This window comes from Homo sapiens, chromosome 6, assembly GCF_000001405.40.
Source record: "Homo sapiens chromosome 6, GRCh38.p14 Primary Assembly".
Taxonomy (NCBI): domain Eukaryota; kingdom Metazoa; phylum Chordata; class Mammalia; order Primates; family Hominidae; genus Homo; species Homo sapiens.
Genome location: NC_000006.12, coordinates 153,337,473 through 153,356,299, shown reverse-complemented (window position 1 = coordinate 153,356,299; position 18,827 = coordinate 153,337,473). Strand labels below are relative to the sequence as shown.

Sequence of the window (18,827 nt, the reverse complement as noted above, 5' to 3'; positions counted from 1 at the left end):
GCCATGGATACTAGCATGGCATTTATCCCTAAAACAGGAAGCTTGGGCTTGGCTTAATTGGCAGGAATTAGCCATGTTCACCTGCGCTGTGCCTTTTAACTTCTGTTGTCTGCCTCTGGATCCCTTTGATCCAGCTTTCCTTCCTAGGGCTTTTACCCGAAGCTTGGAATTGAGTTTGGGACAAAAATGTGTCTCGGGGGGTTGCATGGACTCCTTATCATAAGGCAAATGCTAAGGTGAAACTGTTGAATTGAGTCCTCCTCCAAAACGGGAAGATGTCTTGTGACACACCCAGATAACTGGTGGCTATAGTCATGCTTGCTAGGATTTGGGTGCCTGGTGCTTGGCTTTGGTTAGCTCCCTTGGTCTTACTTTCCCAAAAGGAAACCTCTGAGTGATGGGCATCCTATTTATTCCCATCACCTGGCAGGATTCACAGGATAATTACTCAGAACTAGACTATCGATCAAAATTTTTTACATTACCCACCCCTCTTGTTTTTTCTGGACTGCAGCTGGAAATTGCTGGTTGGTTCACAGGAACAAGCAGGGTTAGTCTAAGATGTAGGCAAAAACATAAAAATAAAAACAACTGATGAAGTTTTGAAACATAATTTCTCTCTCTCCAGTCCTCATTTTTGTAAAAAAAAAAAAAAAAATGATAGGACTGAATTGTTTGTAAAAGAGACTTTAGTCTTATACTTGGCCTAATTATTTGCATAAAGTACAGCAAGAATAATTATTTCTACATAGGCCTTTTGGATTGGCTTTTATGGAAGTTTGTTCCACAGGGAGTCTTAGATAAGACCTTTTAAAGCCAAGCCTGGCCATGGGTTTGTATCCTCAAATACCTGTGAGGTGGGTGATCCTTTCCTCTTAAAGTCCCAAGATAAACTTTAAGATCCTGGACCTGTTAGAAAGTGACATTCTTTACTCACCATAGGTCAGAAACCCTGTACAGGGACTGTGTAGGCAAGGGTATGAGGCCAGTCTCCCCACTGGGCTTTTATTGGCTCTGCAAGTTGAGCTTGATTTCCTAAAGGGAAGCATAGCCTTCCAGTCAAGGCCTTGGTAAAATAACCATTTTTTCCAACTGTGTCCTGTTGCAAAAGAAAAATGGATTCTTACTGCAATTATGCAAACAACTATATTGCCATAAGTTAAGAATACTCACAAATAGTTCCCAAATTCTAGAGGAACCAGGCAGAGAGAAACAAACTACTCCAAATTTTGATTACAGGAGTATACCTTGCTTAATTATTAAAAGCTGTAAATAGTTCAAAATAAAGTTTCCTTGACTCTGAAAAACAAAACAAGGATCAGCAATATTCTGAGCAAAAGTCAAAAAGTTTGCTTCAGCTTTCTGGGTTCAGTCCATTTAGTTAACTCTTGTTTTGCTTGAAATTCATGAACATTTTAGCTCTTTATGAGTCCTGTACATTTTCCTTTATTCCAATATTACAATCTCTAAGGTTATCAAAAACCTGATTGTCCCATATACAATCAGAAATTGAATTTAAGAGCACCTGTCAGAGTCCTATAGCTCATTATAAACCATCTTTTGAAAAGGATTAAAACTAAGAAAACAATTGTCCATAAATAGCAAAATGTCCAGCATAGTTACAGTTAGAAACACGATTGACGAAGTTTGGTTATCTCCATGGTTAACAATAACTTAACAACCTTAAGAAAACCTTGTTGTGTTTTTATTTTAATGCTCAATTTACAGAAAAACTACATAATGCCTTTTTGAATTTAGTCAATATGTTCACACAGAGAACCTCTTCTTCAAGATTAATCTCCACAATCCTCCTACCACTAGTTTGAACCTTCAGGTTTATCTTATCTAGTTTAAAATAATTGTTTAACCCTAGGCGAAAATTTACATTTCCATGCCTTCTTATAACCTTTTACAAAAAAAAAAGAAAAGAAAACACATTTTACTGTTCTTACACACCTTACATGTAAATCTAATTTCAGTAGTTTTAACTACACATTGTAATGGTAACTCCTAGCAATTGTTAACTTTAAGGTAAAACCTGGTAAGTTGCTTTAATTGTATGCTAACTGCGGCCAAAATTTGCCTTCTTAATTAAGGGTGTGGTTAGTTCCATATGTCCCCAGGTCTTACCAATTGTGAAGTCAAATAGCTTTCAAAACCCAAAAAGCAGTTTTTAACCTTAAAACATTTAGTAAATCTTGCATCTGACCTGCATTATTCATCCCACCTATTTACATTTTAATGACACTTGCCTTTTACCAATAATTTTTAAGGTTGTTTTTATTTCTTAAATATTAAAGTCATGTGAACTGAAAGGTACAAAAGCTTTTGTCTTCCCTTAAAAATATTTAATCCAAGTAGTTGTTTTTCTTTAGGCCGAATCAATTAGAGTCCTTTTTACAACATCACACACACACACACACACACACACACACACACACACACACACACACACACACAGAGACAGGCAGGAGAAAACCCAGTTTCCTGGTGGGGTTCTTTAGGAGACAGGTCTAGGAAAACATGCAGATATCAAACCAGAAAGGAACCTATTCTCTAAGGCAGGACTGCTAAACAAAACCTTGCCACCAGAGTTACAAGCCATGCCCCCAGGATGTAAACAAGATGGCCTGATTTCACAACCAAAACTTTGCAGAAAATATAAACAGTGATAGTTAGGGGTGCCTGTTCTAGTAAAGCATTTTCTAAAAGGAAAGAACGTTAAAAGTTACCTGCTGATGGGGTAAGGAAAAGGATTCCTGAGAGAAGAACCTATTATTCTTATGCAACTGGTTCTTACACCAGGGAAAAAAGTTTAATTACTATCAGATGAAGCTGAAACCCTTCGCAGGGAAAGAGGGAGGATGCAGTGGCGCATGGCTGGGAACCAGCTAGCCAGCTGTGCAGGACCCTTGGGCCATGCGTCCCAACCCCACCAGGGAGGAGGAAGTGGTGAGCAGCTGCTCACCAGTCCATCTCAAAAAAGGAAAGAAAAGGGCATGAAAAGGCCCCCAACTTCTGGGAGTGACGGGGGGTTTGAGTGTAGTTTCCCATAAGATCAGAAGTCTGAGGATGAAAAGGGTTAGAAACCACAGTGAGGAGTTTTGCATCCCCATTTCACTCACCACTTCTTGAGCCTCATGTTGGGTGCCAAAAATGTTACAGAACTTTTCCTTAGTTCAGCTAAAGACGGGGTCCTTGTTCCACAGCCATGAAAATTTAGGCTTGCAGACAGTTTGAAGGATGAGTAAAGCAGGGTTTTATTGGGTGAAAAGGAATACAAGGGGGAAACAGGGACTCTCCAAAAGGACAGAGTCCCTGCTATAGTGCTTCCTGCCTTGCAGTTTGAATCTCTGGTTTTGCACAGGAAGAGGAGGACCAGGCTCTTCTCCCTGCTGCAAATGGCACGGACTTCTGTGGCTGCATCCCATGTGCACTCTTCCCAGTGTCCAAGTCAGTTGGACTTTTTTCAGGGATCTCCTCCCACCTGGCTGTCACATTACTTACCATTGCTTTGAGGGTGCTTTGTTTTCAGGATCATACTGGTAAAGTCAGCAGGAGTTTTATCTCCAGTTACAATTCTTTGAAAAAATGCTTCAGAATCTTGATCTCACTTGTTTAAAATTTCCATTGAAAGCTCTGCTCTTGTCTGCAGTTGATCTGGGCAGAATGGTTTTGTAATCATCGAGTGGAAAGTTTCCTCACCTTTAATTTTTCCATAAAAATTGTGTAAGCTGAACACATTGAGATGTTGATGGTGTTGGCTATTGTTTCTGCTGTTAATCATTTGTTCTCTTCATTTAGGACACTAATGACGTTAATTTTTGTCCTCAAAAATTGATGTGGATAGTCTGCTGCTATGGGCTTCATCTTCAACATCATCTCATCTCTTCTTAAAATGAGTTATCTATTTGTAAGCTGCTGATTTCTTTGGGGCTTTGTCCCTATTAACTTTTCATAAAACATCAATGATTTCACCATTCCTCCACCCAAGCTTCACCATAAATTTGATGATTTTTTTTTTGCTTCAATTTTAGCAAAATTCATGCTGCTCTGATAAGGTCTCTTTTCAAACTGATGTTTTATCCTTCTTAATGCCTCAAACTACATCCTGTTCATACATGTTATAACAAGTTAGTGCAAATTTTGGTGCAAAAAAGTTGAAATTTATGCATGGATATTTCATAATAAGCATCTTCCATATACTTTTTGAAGACCCCTCCTGTAAGCACTCATTCCTCAGTATCCATGGGAGATTGCTTCCAGGACACACCATGAAATTACCTCCCCTCTGAGATCATGATACTAAAATCCACAGATGCTCAAGTCTTTTATATAAAATGGTGTAGTCTTTGCATGTAACCTATGCATATCCTCTTGTATACTTTAAATCATTTCTAGATTACTTATAATACCTAATATAACATTAATGTTATGTAAATAGTTGTTTTACAGTATTGTTTAGAAAATAATGATAAGAAAAATAGTCTGTGCATGTTCAGTGTAGATGCAACTATCCTTTTTTTCCCAAATGTTTTTATCCACTCTTGGTTGAATCCATAGATGCAGAACCCATGGAAACAGAAGGGAAACTAAATGTTAGAATCTGATCATGTGAAGCTTTGGTCACCAAAGAAATGAATGTAAGCAACCTAAGTTCTCACTGTTGCATGAATATATAAAGAAAATATGGCATATACGTGCAATGGAAATTATTCAGCCTTGAAAAATAAGCATATTCTGCCATTTGTGACAACATAGATGAACCTGGAGGACATTGTGCCAAATGAAATAAGGGAGACACAAAAGGATAAATACTACATGATACCACTTACGTGATAAATCTAAAATAGTCAATCTCATAGAAATAGAGTGAAATGGTGTTTGCCAGTGGCAGAGGAGAGAGGGACACGAGGAGATATTAGTTAGATGATACAGTTTCTTATTATATGGGATAAATAGGACCTAGAGATCTCCAGTACAGCATAGTGGCTATAGTTAATAATACTGTTTTGTATACTTAAAAACTTGCTATGAGGATCATTCTTTATATCAACTGTCCTTATCATTAAATAATAATAAGAGGGTGAGAGGCAACTTTTGGAGGTGATGGATAGGTTTATAATATAGATTGTGGTAACAGTTCCATGGGTGTACACTCATCTCCATGCTCGCTGAGGTCTACAGATTAAAAATGTACAGCTTTGTGTATGTCAATCATATCTGAAGGAAGTGGTTTACAGAAAAATAAATAAACAGATACTTTATCTTATCGTGACAGTAAATAATAGTTTTTTAAAAAATGGATAACATAATCAAATCCATAGTTATGGTGACGTGGAGAATGGTTTCAACAGGATTGAGAGTAATGGTAGAGAGATAAATGAGGAGAATTTTGACAAAAAGAGCCCCCTTCGTTTTTTTTAATTAAGTACCAAAGATTTCTTCTAAAATTCCTGGGTTTTTTAAAGTACAGCAACTAAAACCAACCAATAACCTAGTTGCATAAAGATAGTGCTGGGAATCATGCTAAGACGGATACTATAGACAAAAGACCTTCACAATTTAAGGAAAGGTATCATAAATAAGCAAAGTAAAGAAATAAATTAATTTGAAGTTATCTTTCCATTTTCCAAGGCAAAGGAAAATGCAAGAGGAAGGCAAAATCTTAGTATCCTTGGAAGTGCTATTAGCCTTAGAACCTGCCTTTAAGTGTAAAAATTAACTTGGCCTTTTGCATGGATGTACATAGGGCCCTTTGATGCATGTTCTCTATATGCCCTATGACAAGAGCTTTGGGCGTCTCTGTGTCTCTGATATATATTCACTTTGAATGTCACAGTCACATATGCTCGTTCCATAACCTCCCTTTTAAATCTATGTAGGCATAAAAGCTGCTTAAAGCACCAATCCATAAAGTAACTGTCAAATACTTTAAAAACACAAAATAGAAAACCGCTGTTTGAGGTTTTATAGTTCTGTACCTTACTGTGACCTACACTGACTTGCCATTTAATGTTAATAATAGTTCATAAACCAGCATTTCTTTAAAAGCATGAGAAGATGACTTTGATGTGTGCTTTCCTTGAAGAGCCATAATTTGCAGCGGTTTAATGACCACAGCGAATTCCAGTGTTCTGTGACCCTTTAATTTGGGCTGGAAACTAAAGTGACTTATTTCCCACTGTCTGTCTGCCATACTTTCAAAGGTCATCGTGAATTTTTTATTTAGTTATCTTTATTTTAGTGTCAATTAGAGCAGAATTCAGTTCTCTTCGATTTCTCTTTTGTATTTTGATGTTTAATTTCTTTAGATGGCTATTTAATAGATCAGTATTTGTTTTATATCACTTTATATGTGAAATTATTTATAATACATTATTAAAATAGTTTAAATATAACCTCTGAACTCATAGTTAAAAAATTAGTACTTTTTACAACAGATTCATCTGTTGGAGCAAAAGTATATAAAAAATGAGAACAAGAAAGAAAAGGATGCAGAAAGAAACTTGATGCGGGCAAAAATCCCAGACAAATCAGTATTCTCAATTTCTAAGACAGGAAATAAGAAAGCTGACAGCAATTATCAAACTTCTTGCTTTTCCCCCAGACATTAGAACACACCCACCTCAGTGCTAGGTCTCTGAAATAATGAAACTCCTAGAAGCACAGAGTAGGTTTTGTAGATGGTTTTGAATAGCAGAAAAGTTTTGCTGCAATATCTGATACAGAAAAAATGTCAGATACAAAGTCCATACAGAATGAATCAGCCTTAAAATTGTCCATAGTGAGATGACAGGACACTCATATAGCAGTGGGAAGAGCAGAAATTTATAATTTGACCACCACCAAGTGATTTGCTATGAATCTTTGATCTAGTTGCTTTCTTTCTTACTCTCCCATATTCTTACTGACAATATGGGTGTAACACCTATCCCACTTTTTTTTTTTTTTTTTGAGATGGAGTCTTGCTTTATTGCCAAGGCTAGAGTGTGCAGTGGCGCAACCTTGGCTCACCACAACCTCCACCTCCAGGGTTCAAGCAATTCTCCTGCCTCAACCTCCTGAGTAGCTTGGATTACAAGCACTCAATACAATACAAAATTTGTGTATTTTTAGTGGAGACAGGATTTCATCATGTTGGCCAGGCTGGTCTCAAACTCCTGACCTCAAGTGATCTGCCCACCTCGGCCTCCCGTAATGTATCCCATCTTTTTCCATTATGTATTTAAAGTTTCTTAAAGAGAACATATAAAATGTAAGTGAAGAAGCATGGCTTGAACATGATGTTTTACACATTTTACACTGCCTTCATTTCACCAAAATAATAATAAGTTTTTTGAAGTGCCAAAATTAAAATGATAGTATGTAAATAAAAATAAATGAAATGGAATTTAGTTTCCAGCAGTAGGGTGACATTTCTATTCAAAGAAACCCTTGAAGTATAGAACACTTACTGAACAAAACTGCTGAACAAAATATTTTTAAAATATTTCAAAACATAAGGTTAGATTAGTGCCGTAGTCAAATAAATCTTCTGCACCATGGAAAAAAATAGGAGAAGAATGAATCTAGAGATTTTATTCACCATCCTAGATTCTTGATGTTTCCCTGGAACATCTAAACAGTCATAATTGCCTAGAGCTTGAGCTTTGTATTAGCCTGCTCAGGCTGCCATAACAAAATACCACAGACTGGGTGGCTTAAAAAAGAGAATTTTATTTCTCACAGTTTTGGAAGGCAGAAGTCCAAGATCAAGGTCCTGGTGGGGTTGGTTTCTGGTGAAGCTTCCCTTATTGGCTTATAGACAGCGTCTTCTTGCTATGTCATCCAATGGTCTTCCCTTTGTGCACATGTGCAAAGAAACAGATTAGGATCTCTGGTATCTCTTCCTCTTTAAAAGGATATCAGTCCCATTGCATTAGGACTTATGATCTCATTTAACCTTAATTACCTCTTTGAAGGCCTACTGATCTCCAAATACACTCACATTGGGGGTTTCAACACATGAGTTTGAGGGGGACCCAATTCAGTCCATAACAGCTTTTCATGGGTCATTTAAGGGGATCAGAAGAAAAAGCCTAGGGTAAGTCCAAATTTAAATCTTTGATCCATGAACCAGTACATAAAGCAGGATAACTAAAGGTGACAAACTTAGTGGATAAACTAGGAAAAATCCACTTTTTGGCAGAAGATTATGGGGATATTGCAAACCATCAGCATTGGCTCTGGAGAGAGACTTAAAAATAATTTTTCCCCGAGAATCCTTAAACACAAGCCCAACTTTTTTTTTTATTTTTTTTTTTATTATACTTTAAGTTTTAGGGTACATGTGCACAATGTGCAGGTTAGTTACATATGTATACATGTGCCATGCTGGTGTGCTGCACCCAGTAACTCGCCATTTAGCATTAGGTATATCTCCTAAAGCTATCCCTCCCCCCTCCCCCCACCCCACAACAGGCCCCGGTGTGTGATGTTCCCCTTCCTGTGTCCATGTATTCTCATTGTTCAATTCCCACCTATGAGTGAGAATATGCGGTGTTTGGTTTTTTGTTCTTGCGATAGTTTACTAAGAATGATGATTTCCAATTTCATCCATGTCCCTACAAAGGATGTGAACTCATCATTTTTTATGGCTGCATAGTATTCCATGGTGTATATGTGCCACATTTTCTTAATCCAGTCTATCATTGTTGGACATTTGGGTTGGTTCTAAGTCTTTGCTATTGTGAATAATGCCACAATAAACGTATGTGTGCATGTGTCTTTATAGCAGCATGATTTATAGTCCTTTGGGTATATATACCCAGTAATGGGATGGCTGGGTCAAATGGTATTTCTATTCTAGATCCCTGAGGAATCGCCACACTGACTTCCACAATGGTTGAACTAGTTTACAGTCCCACCAACAGTGTAAAAGTGTTCCTATTTCTCCACATCCTCTCCAGCACCTGTTGTTTCCAGACTTTTTAATGACTGCCATTCTAACTGGTGTGAGATGGTATCTCATTGTGGTTTTGATTTGCATTTCTCTGATGGCCAGTGATGGTGAGCATTTTTTCATGTGTTTTTTGGCTGCATAAATGTCTTCTTTTGAGAAGTGTCTGTTCATGTCTTTCGCCCACTTTTTGATGGGGTTGTTTGTTTTTTTCTTGTAAATTTGTTTGAATTCATTGTAGATTCTGGATATTAGTCCTTTGTCAGATGAGTAGGTTGCAAAAATTTTCTCCCATTTTGTAGGTTGCCTGTTCACTCTGATGGTAGTTTCTTTTGCTGTGCAGAAGCTCTTTAGTTTAATTAGATCCCATTTGTCAATTTTGGCTTTTGTTGCCATTGCTTTTGGTGTTTTAGACATGAAGTCCTTGCCCATGCCTATGTCCTGAATGGTAATGCCTAGGTTTTCTTCTACGGTTTTTATGGTTTTAGGTCTAACGTTTAAGTATTTAATCCATCTTGAATTAATTTTTGTATAAGGTGTAAGGAAGGGATCCAGTTTCAGCTTTCTACATATGGCTAGCCAGTTTTCCCAGCACCATTTATTAAATAGGGAATCCTTTCCCCATTGCTTGTTTTTCTCAGGTTTGTCAAAGATCAGATAGTTGTAGATATGCGGTGTTATTTCTGAGGGCTCTGTTCTGTTCCATTGATCTATATCTCTGTTTTGGTACCGGTACCATGCTGTTTTGGTTACTGTAGCCTTGTAGTATAGTTTGAAGTCAGGTAGCATGATGCCTCCAGATTTACTTTAATTAGGAGAAAAAATTCTCACTAGCCTTATGGCTGAAAGAAACAAAAGCCACCTCCATGATCACCACCAGCAAAAACATAGCCAAAAATGTGTACCTGGGCATCTGGAAAAAGCAAATAAAATTACTCTTTGATAAAACTGTAATTTAAACATAGATTTCAAATAGTCATCCAGAGTTTTACAATATTTAAAGGCACATTAGCTCATAATGAGAAACTGCAAAACACTAAACAGAAAATATACCTTGAAATATTAGGAAAAATAACAAACATTATAACTTAAGCCTCAAAATATAGCAGATTTTGTAATTAATAATTTTGTATCAAACAAATAATATAAAATAATGTTTATGATGTTAAAACATTACATTGGAAAATTAAATAAATAAGAAAAGAACAGAAAACTGCAAAATTTGACCATAAATATTTGAATAAAACCTATATAATTTTGGGAATAAAATATAAAACAGTTGCAATTTGATACTGAATGAAGATATTTAGTAGTAGATTCAAAGAGGCCAAGGAGAGAATTCGTAAAGTAGAAGATCAAGCTGAAGGAATAACCCAGAATGTGTCACAAATAGAAATTATGGAAAAAGGGGGAGTTAAGAAACACAGAGGAGAGAGTAAGAAAGACTAATACTCAATCAAAGGAACAGTAAAAGAGCATGAATAAAATGGGTGTGAGTTGTACTTTGTGATTACAGGTTCTTTCTTCTGATCCCTTAGTGTCTAAAGGAATAGTGGCTAAGAACTTTTGAGAACTGATAAAAGACATGAGTTCTTAGACAGAAAATTCAATAAATCTCTCCCCAAATTAAAATGATTGATAGATAAACACCTACATGCATTTGGTAAAAATATAGATCGCTAGAATGTACTTAAATATGACCAAAACAAAAAGGAAGTAGGACAATGATTAGGCCAATAGATGATTTCTCAAAGCAAAACTGGCCGGAGGGCGGGGGTGGGGGAGAAAGCAAATCTGTACAGAAAACTATGGGAACTTAATAAATATCTACCTATATATAATAAATTCAATGAAACTAGATAGAAAAAACTTTATGTGCAAATTAATGGTAAACAACAAAAAGCAGCAGAAATGTCATGGGAAAGCTCAAAGGGGTAGCAAGGGAGCAGACAAAATCACAACAACAAAAGAACTAGGAATTCTGAGTTATCCTATTGAGAAAATCACAAAACATCCGCAAAAACGACCCCCAACCCACCCCCACCAAAAAAAAGTCTCCCTCTCTCAATACCATTTGAGATCTGGAAACAATGAGGATAGGAAGAAGCCTTAGGACATTGGGGAAAACAAAACATGGAAAGTGCACAGAGGACAAGGTGACAGATAAAAGACCATCTGTTCTAACAGAGAAGAACTTGCCTTGGAATACACAGGCAATATCTGTAAGGTGCAGCAGTCAAAGATAAAAACAATTGGTAGAAGCACCCCCTGAAGCAACATAAGACTGTAGAATCAGAGGAAATCTGCCCACAAAAGGCAACAATATTAAAGTAATTGTTAATCACTTTATCAATGGAAGAGGTATCCCTTGAGCAGAGGAACCAGGAAAGAACTTGCTATGGATTAAACTGTACCACACTCTCCCCAATCCTTGCCTAACTATTCTGAAGTCGTAACTGCCCAGAAATGTGAATCTGACCTTATTTTTAAAAAGAGTCTTGCAGATGTCATCAAGTTAAGATGAAGTCATACTGAATTAGAATGGTCCTGAAATCCAATCTGACTAGTCTCCATATAAGAGGGAATTTTGAACATAGAGACAGAGTCAAGCAGTAGAGAGGGCCACATGTGAAGATGGAGGCAGAGATGGGAGTGATGCATACACTGGCCAAGGAATGCCACAGATTAATGGCAACTATCAGAATAGAAGAGGCAGGGAAGAATTCCTCCCCTAGAACACTCAGAGAGAAGATGGCACTGCTGACACCTTGACTTCTGACTTTTAGCCTCTAGAACTGTGAGACAACACATTTCTGCTGTTTGAGGCCACCAAGTTTGCGGTACTTTGTTACGACAGCCCTAGGAGACTAGTACAGTGCTTTAACTCCTCCCTGCCTTACAGAGATCCTTCTGCTAACAGCTAGTCTAGAAAATCCAATTCACTAAAACGTTGATAACAAAAAACAAATAAATAAAACTATACCAATTGTACAAAGACACTTTACTGAAAAAAAATACAGCAAAGCTTAAGAGCCAAAGAAGACTCACCCTAAAAATGTCATCACAAACAGAAGACTGTAATGTCACATTTCAGTCTAAATTTAAAAGAGATCTGCTGTACGATACAGTGCCTCTAGTTAACAGTATGGCATTGCACACTTTACAGTTTAAGAGGGTACATCTCATGTAAAGTGTTCTTACACACACATGCACACGCACACAAGACACGAATAGACACAAGAAAATTGAGGTGATGAGTATGTTTATCATCTTGATTATGGTGATGGTATTATGGGTTTATGCATATTTCCAAACACTTCCAATAGTATATATTAAACAGGTGCACAGCCACAGCATCTACAAGGAGACATCACAAAGCAAAAATAAGAAAGCACTTAGAAAATATGGCTAAAACACTTGGAGCTATAACTCAACAGTTAGATAATATACAGTGGAAACTAGCAGAACTCATGAAAGAACTAAAGAAAAAGACAAAACATCTCCGAATGAAAGCTAAATTACAAGGTGCTCTTGTGGGAATAGTTATTCCAGGAAAGCATAGTAAGAGACATAAAAGATAGAAATGAAGGAAATGAAACAAACAAACAAAAAAGATAAAAAGGGATTAGAGAGAAAGTGATTTGGGCTAGAATGGCCTCATTGCAAATGAGGATTCTGCCTTTTTGCCGGGAGCAACAGCTACATTCTCCGGAGGAGTGATAGAGATTGCTTTGTATTAGAAAACAGCACTTTCTCTCGTGGAATCACGGCAGCCATCCTGTCTTTCCTCTGAGAAATGCCTCACTTTTCTACTGACATCTGTTTCCTCTTGCAACATTTCCTGGTCTTTGCTATCTCCTGTGTTCTCTGGGGGAGATACAGCCCTTTGATGCGTACCTGCCTTCATAAACTTTTCCATGAAGGACGTTTGTGAGGCTGAGTGTGTGGCAGACAAGTGTCACCAAGGAACCAAGAAGAACCCAAATGATGTTCAAGGTCCCAGAGATCCTGGAGCATATGAACGTGGGTACCAAGAGTTTTATAGGTAATTTCTACCAAACATTCAGGGGAGAAAAAAATCTCATGCAAATCTTTCAGGGAATAGAAAAGATAAAGGATTTTCCAATCACAAGGTTAATGTAATATTTATACCACAACCAGACTAATGGTGCTAGAAATGGTAACACCATTTCAAACACAAATGCAAAATAATAAGAAATCTATAATATTAGCAAATAAAATCCAACAATGTTTTCAAGTTAATGAATCACTATCAAATTCAAATTATTCCAGGAATGCAAAATTGATTCAGCATTTGGAAGTGTATTAATTCACCATATTATTACTAATTGTATATTTATATGTGTACAATCATTTCATTATACAAAACATTTGATAAAATTCTAAATGTATTAAACTTTTAAACTAAGAGTAGAAGATAACATGGTCTTTTATTGTTTCCATACCACTTTGTCTTAATCATTATACTTTTACAAAATATATTGTTATCTATGATGGCTAATACCTCTCAGTCTATTTTCCTTTTTAGGCAATTTATTATTATTTTTGGCCCTTTGTTTTTCATTAAACTTGCTAAATTCTATTTAAAACCCTAGTGGAATTCTTAATCTAAGTGGTGAGTTCACTTTTAGCTTTGCTATTTAATGTAAACATTTGTGTTATGTATAGGCTATTATATATATATATGACACACGACATTAATTGAAAAAAATCAAAGTTTCCTAAAAATCGGAATGATAGATTAACAGATGCAAATCAACTGGCCAAATAGAACATAGTGAATAGATAATAACATCTAATTCATGTTAGGATGGTTGATTGCAAAAAGTTTAAAGTACTTAGTTTTACCACTCAACATAGATAATAAACTAAGCCCATAAGGTACAAAATGTTTATTCTTTCCATTCCTAGGCAAGGTTATACGTGTTTTGTTTTGTTTTGTTTTGTTTTGTTTTGTTTTGTTGTTTTGAGACAGGGTCTCACTGTGTCACTCACGCTGGAGTGCAGTGGTGTGGTCACAGCTCAATGTGGCCTCAATCTCCCAAGCTCAAGTGATCCTCCTACCTCAGCCTCCCTAGTGGCTGTGATTACAGATGTGTGCCACCACGCCCAGATAATTTTTTTTTATTTTTTGTAGAGACGAGGTCTAAACTATGTTACCCAAGATGGTCTTGAACTCCTGGGCTCAAGTGATCTGCCTACCTTGGCCTCCCAAAGTGCTAGGATCACAGGTGTGAGCCACCATGCCTGGCCAACAAGGTCAGATTTGATCTTTTAACTGGGAATCAAAAAGATTAAAATCACATTTCATATTCTACCAATGTAATCATCTATAGCAAGATAGTCATTTAGGAGTGTTTATAAAACACTGTTTTATGAATTCACTATGACTCAAAAGTTACATATAACAAATTAGGAATTCTTAAACATCATTTTGCAATGATGGCCGATAGGTCAAAAATGATGGCCATTGCTTTGTATCAGTCAGGGCCAATAAACTTCTGCTGTTGCATTAGAATTCAGATCTGGGATATGTTACTACTTTCTCTAAGTAACACAACAAAATGAATTATGAACATTTCATAACTTTCCTATCTTTCAGGTTTTTAAAATGGATTATAAAGCAGAAAATTGAAAACAGTATCATATCCTATTGAGTTTTTGTTGTTGTTGTTGTTTTTTAACTGGGAGAAGTAATCTCACAATATTTACCACATAGCCATTAAATCAGGCCCAGATAAAAAGCGCAAAACATACTCTTGAAGGGAAAATATCACCCTTTGATGGAAAAGCCAAATGTGTTTATAACTACACTCTTTTTGGATTTCATGCAATGCCATGCCAATAGCATTGCAGAAAGTGAAGACTAAACCTATTCTACATGAAAAGAGTCTCCAGAAACACCAACTAAGCATCTGTAGCAGAACTGAGATTTATGAAAACAAGCACAGATTTTAGAAAAAAATATGTTAATTGCTTATATTTTATTTTAAAATATCTCTACCTAGGTCAAAGTGAAATTCAAAGGTACATGAAATTCAACTAAATGCAACAAATTTCCTTTAATTCTAAAGTATACTAAATGAACAAGAAAGGCTTAGGTGCATATGTATCCTATTTCCATAATACCAACCTAAAATACCTTAGTATCTCATTATCTTCCACTATAACTAAAATGCAAACAGTTAGCTTTTGCCTTTTTATTTCTTTCTTTATTCTTTAAATATGAAAATTAGAAATAGGAAGAATAATTGTTATTAATTAAAGCTTTATTTGTCTCCATGTCATTGTCTGAAATCATCTATAAAGCACAGTTACAAAAATGAATGATAGAAATTATTATTTCTTCTTAGTTCAAAATGTCAATTGTCATGGGCGCAGAACCAAAAGTGTTAAAAGAAGAAACAGAGAGAGAGAGAGAGAGAGAGAGAGAGAAAGAGTGGGAGAGGGGAGGCTGTCTGTATCAACCATTAATGGGGTAATTAGCACTAGAATAACAAAAGAGAACTTGAGTAATAGCCCACTTAATGTTTTCTAAAAGGCACTAGTAACATCTCTTCACGCTAATGCCACTTACTCAGGCTGCATTGCCTAGAATTCTGTAATTTTGGATCTAGTCCATTGTTTTCATAGAACTGTGCTCCTTCTGACTCCATTTCATCCAATTATCTCCTTCACTGGCACCATCCATCAACATTCTACTGGAAAGTTCTGCCCTTTATGTATTTGCTTTCCTCTCCTTTCCATTTCATTTTAGCAATAAGAGCAATTTTTGTAAAATATAAATCAGATCATGTAATTACTTTGCTTAAAACACTTCAGTAACTTCACAGTGTACTTGAATAAAAATGGAATTCTTATTTTGCTATTCTAGACCTCAGAACTTGAACCATATCAACTTTAACAACCCCAACATGTGCCACTGTTCCTCTTTTTCAGAAGATACTAGTCGCACTCTCCCTTCCTGCAAGGTGACAGTCTCCAATACATCATTTGTGTCTGCTGTCCGGTTTTTTATTTTGTTTTAATAATACCCGGGATTTTTTTGAGATCCTCCCCTGATTAGTTTTTCATTTTTCATCTGGTTTAACTGAAACTGCATTCTCTTTCTACTCTAAATCAAGTAGATTCTATCTGTAATTCCTTTTTTTAATGTTTTTTAGAGATGGAATTTCACTATATTGCCCAGGCTAGGCATCGAACTCCTAGGCTCAAGTGATCTCCTCACCTAACTTCCCAAGTAGCTAGGAAGTGAGCTGCTGCACCCGGTGTATTTCTATAATTCTTTATCACCAAATACTTAATTTTCATGGCCTTAGTTACTATATGTGTGTGTATATATATGCATTTATGTATACACATTTTCATTGTTAAATTCTCCTAATTGAACAGATGCTTCATGAAGACAGGAGCCGTGTGGGTCACCATCATATGTCCATCACCTGAGACAGTTTCTACCACATGGCGGACAATAAATACTTGTTGAATGAATGAATGAAAGATTTAATAATTTCAATTACATATATATGTATGTGTATATGTGTATATATATATGTGTGTGTATATATATACACACACACACACATATAAATACTGAGTCCAGAATTTCAGTGTAAGGGTATAGTCTCATAATTTTATTTCTATTGTCTTTGATATTTTTCATCTCTTTTCTGAACAGACTCTTAAAACTTTAACAAAACATATTAAGTACCTGTGATCCACCCAAATACAATATAGTTCCTCTCTAAAAGCTTTCTTTTGAGTGGCAATAAAGCCTCTGCCAAAGTAAAAGTTCACTTTCTTATTTAGCTGTGCAATAAACACTTTTAGTAGAAATGCTGAAAAATAAATCCATAAATCCTCATGCTCCCTTGAGAAGAAGCTTTTACAATAAGTGGTTTATAAAGCCAAGACATGAAGAAATGTGTAAGTAAACTCACATAGTAAACCTTGTTTTTTTTTATTTTTTTAAAATTGAACCTTATATTCCATAGTCCTCAGAGAGCTGGAAGAAATAGCAGCAACAAGAAATAAAATAAAACCTAGAAAAGGAAAACATTTGATTTGTATATACTGGCAAAATAGATGTCACTTACTATCCTACTGATTGTACTGATTTTTATCACAGAGATTTGTGTAGTTTTTACATAAATATAACTTTGGAAAATTGCTTCATGGTATGTAATGAATTGTTGAATTACTATGGTATATAGAGCATGATCTGAATCTCACTTCTTAGATGTGTGGACTTAGACAAATTGTGTCATTTGTAAAATGTGAGTGAAAGCATCAAACTCTGGGTTATTTTTGAATTAGATAAAACATAATATGCAAAGTAACTAGCACAGTTCTTGGCACAGAAGTCATACTAAAAAATTGTTGTCCTTATTAGTGTTTTGATATACATACAAAAAGATGACAGGCTTCCAACACCACAGAGATTTTGTTCCTACTTTCCTTGCCTACTCCGACCCCAAACAATACAAAAAAGTGGCAATATTAATTGAATCTATGTTCTGTTTCTAAGGGAATATTGTCTCTTCTAATCATTGAACCACATTCTCAAAGATTTTGAGGATACAGAATGTAAAATGTAGTAAAAAAATAAAGCTATAATTATAAATAATTAGTTATAAGTGCTGAAGAAATAATAAACAATGAAGAATATAAAAAATCTTGGAGTCTAAATTCCAAAAGTATAAGTGGTGTTACCAAAACCTATATGAAAGAAAACAAAGCAAAGTGGATCCTTCATTTATACAAAAGAAGTATACTGCACACCTTCTGTATACTCTAAAATATGCTAGGTACAGAAAGTACTGCAGTTTTGCAAACAGATATAAACCTACCTTCATGGAATTTGCAGTTTAGATATGGGAAGAATAAAATTAATCAAATAATCAAATCAATTGTGTTATGAAACATAATTATTAATTGAGAGAAGTGCTGTTGAATTTTAAAAAAGGGTTCCAAAAGTTATATAAAGCACAGAGTACAATGAACTCATAATATGGGGACTTGAACTAGTGTTATAGGTGTTAAAAACTAGAAGCTGTGTATTTCATTACTGGTGAATGGTTTGAGAGTAAAGAATGGGTGTCAATGAACCTAAAAACATGTTCAATATATCAAAATAATACGTATTATTGAAAATAATATGGCAAACACAGCAAACATCATAGTCACTGGGCAAAAGCTTGAAGCATTCCTCTTGAGAACTGGAACAAGACAAGAATGCTCACTCTCATCACTCCTATTCAACATAATACTCAAGTCCCAGACAGAATAATCAGGCAACAGAAAGAAAGAAAAAGTATCCAAATAGCAAAAGAGGAAGTTAGGCTATTTATCTTTGTTGATGATGAGATTCTATACTTAGAAAACCCTAAAGATTCCACCGAAAGGCTGCTAGAGCTGATAAATGACTTCAGTAAAGTTTTAGGGTACAAAATCAATGTACAAAAATCAACAGCATTTCTATATGACAATAACTTTCAAACTGAGAGCTAAGTCAAGAATGAAATCTCATTTACAATAGCCACAAAATGAGTAAAATACCTAGGAATACAGCTAACCAAGACGGTGAAAGATCTCTACAACAAGAACTACAAAACACTGCTGAAATAAATCAGAGACAGCACAAACAAATGGAAAAACATTCCATGCTTATGAATTGGAAAAATCAATATCATTGAAATGGCCATACTCCCCAAATCAATTTACAGATTCAATGCTATCCCTAGGTAACTATTCTAAAATTCATATGGAACCAAAAAAAGTTGAAATGGCCAAAGCAATCCTAAGCAAAAAGAACAAAGCCAGAGGTATCACATTACTTGACTTCAAACTATACTACAAGGCTACA

At 35.7% G+C, this 18,827-nt stretch overlaps 1 long non-coding RNA gene across 3 annotated transcripts in view; it reads left to right on the top strand.

Annotated features, from left to right (window-relative positions):
- The window catches only part of LOC105378066 (uncharacterized), a 122,515-nt gene that overhangs the window by 70,865 nt on the left and 32,823 nt on the right, over window positions 1-18,827 (top strand). For all 3 annotated transcript variants that reach the window (NR_187985.1, NR_187983.1, NR_187984.1), the window contains exon 4: window positions 4,564-4,643. This is a non-coding gene — a long non-coding RNA (uncharacterized LOC105378066). The remainder of the gene's footprint in view (window positions 1-4,563; window positions 4,644-18,827) is intronic.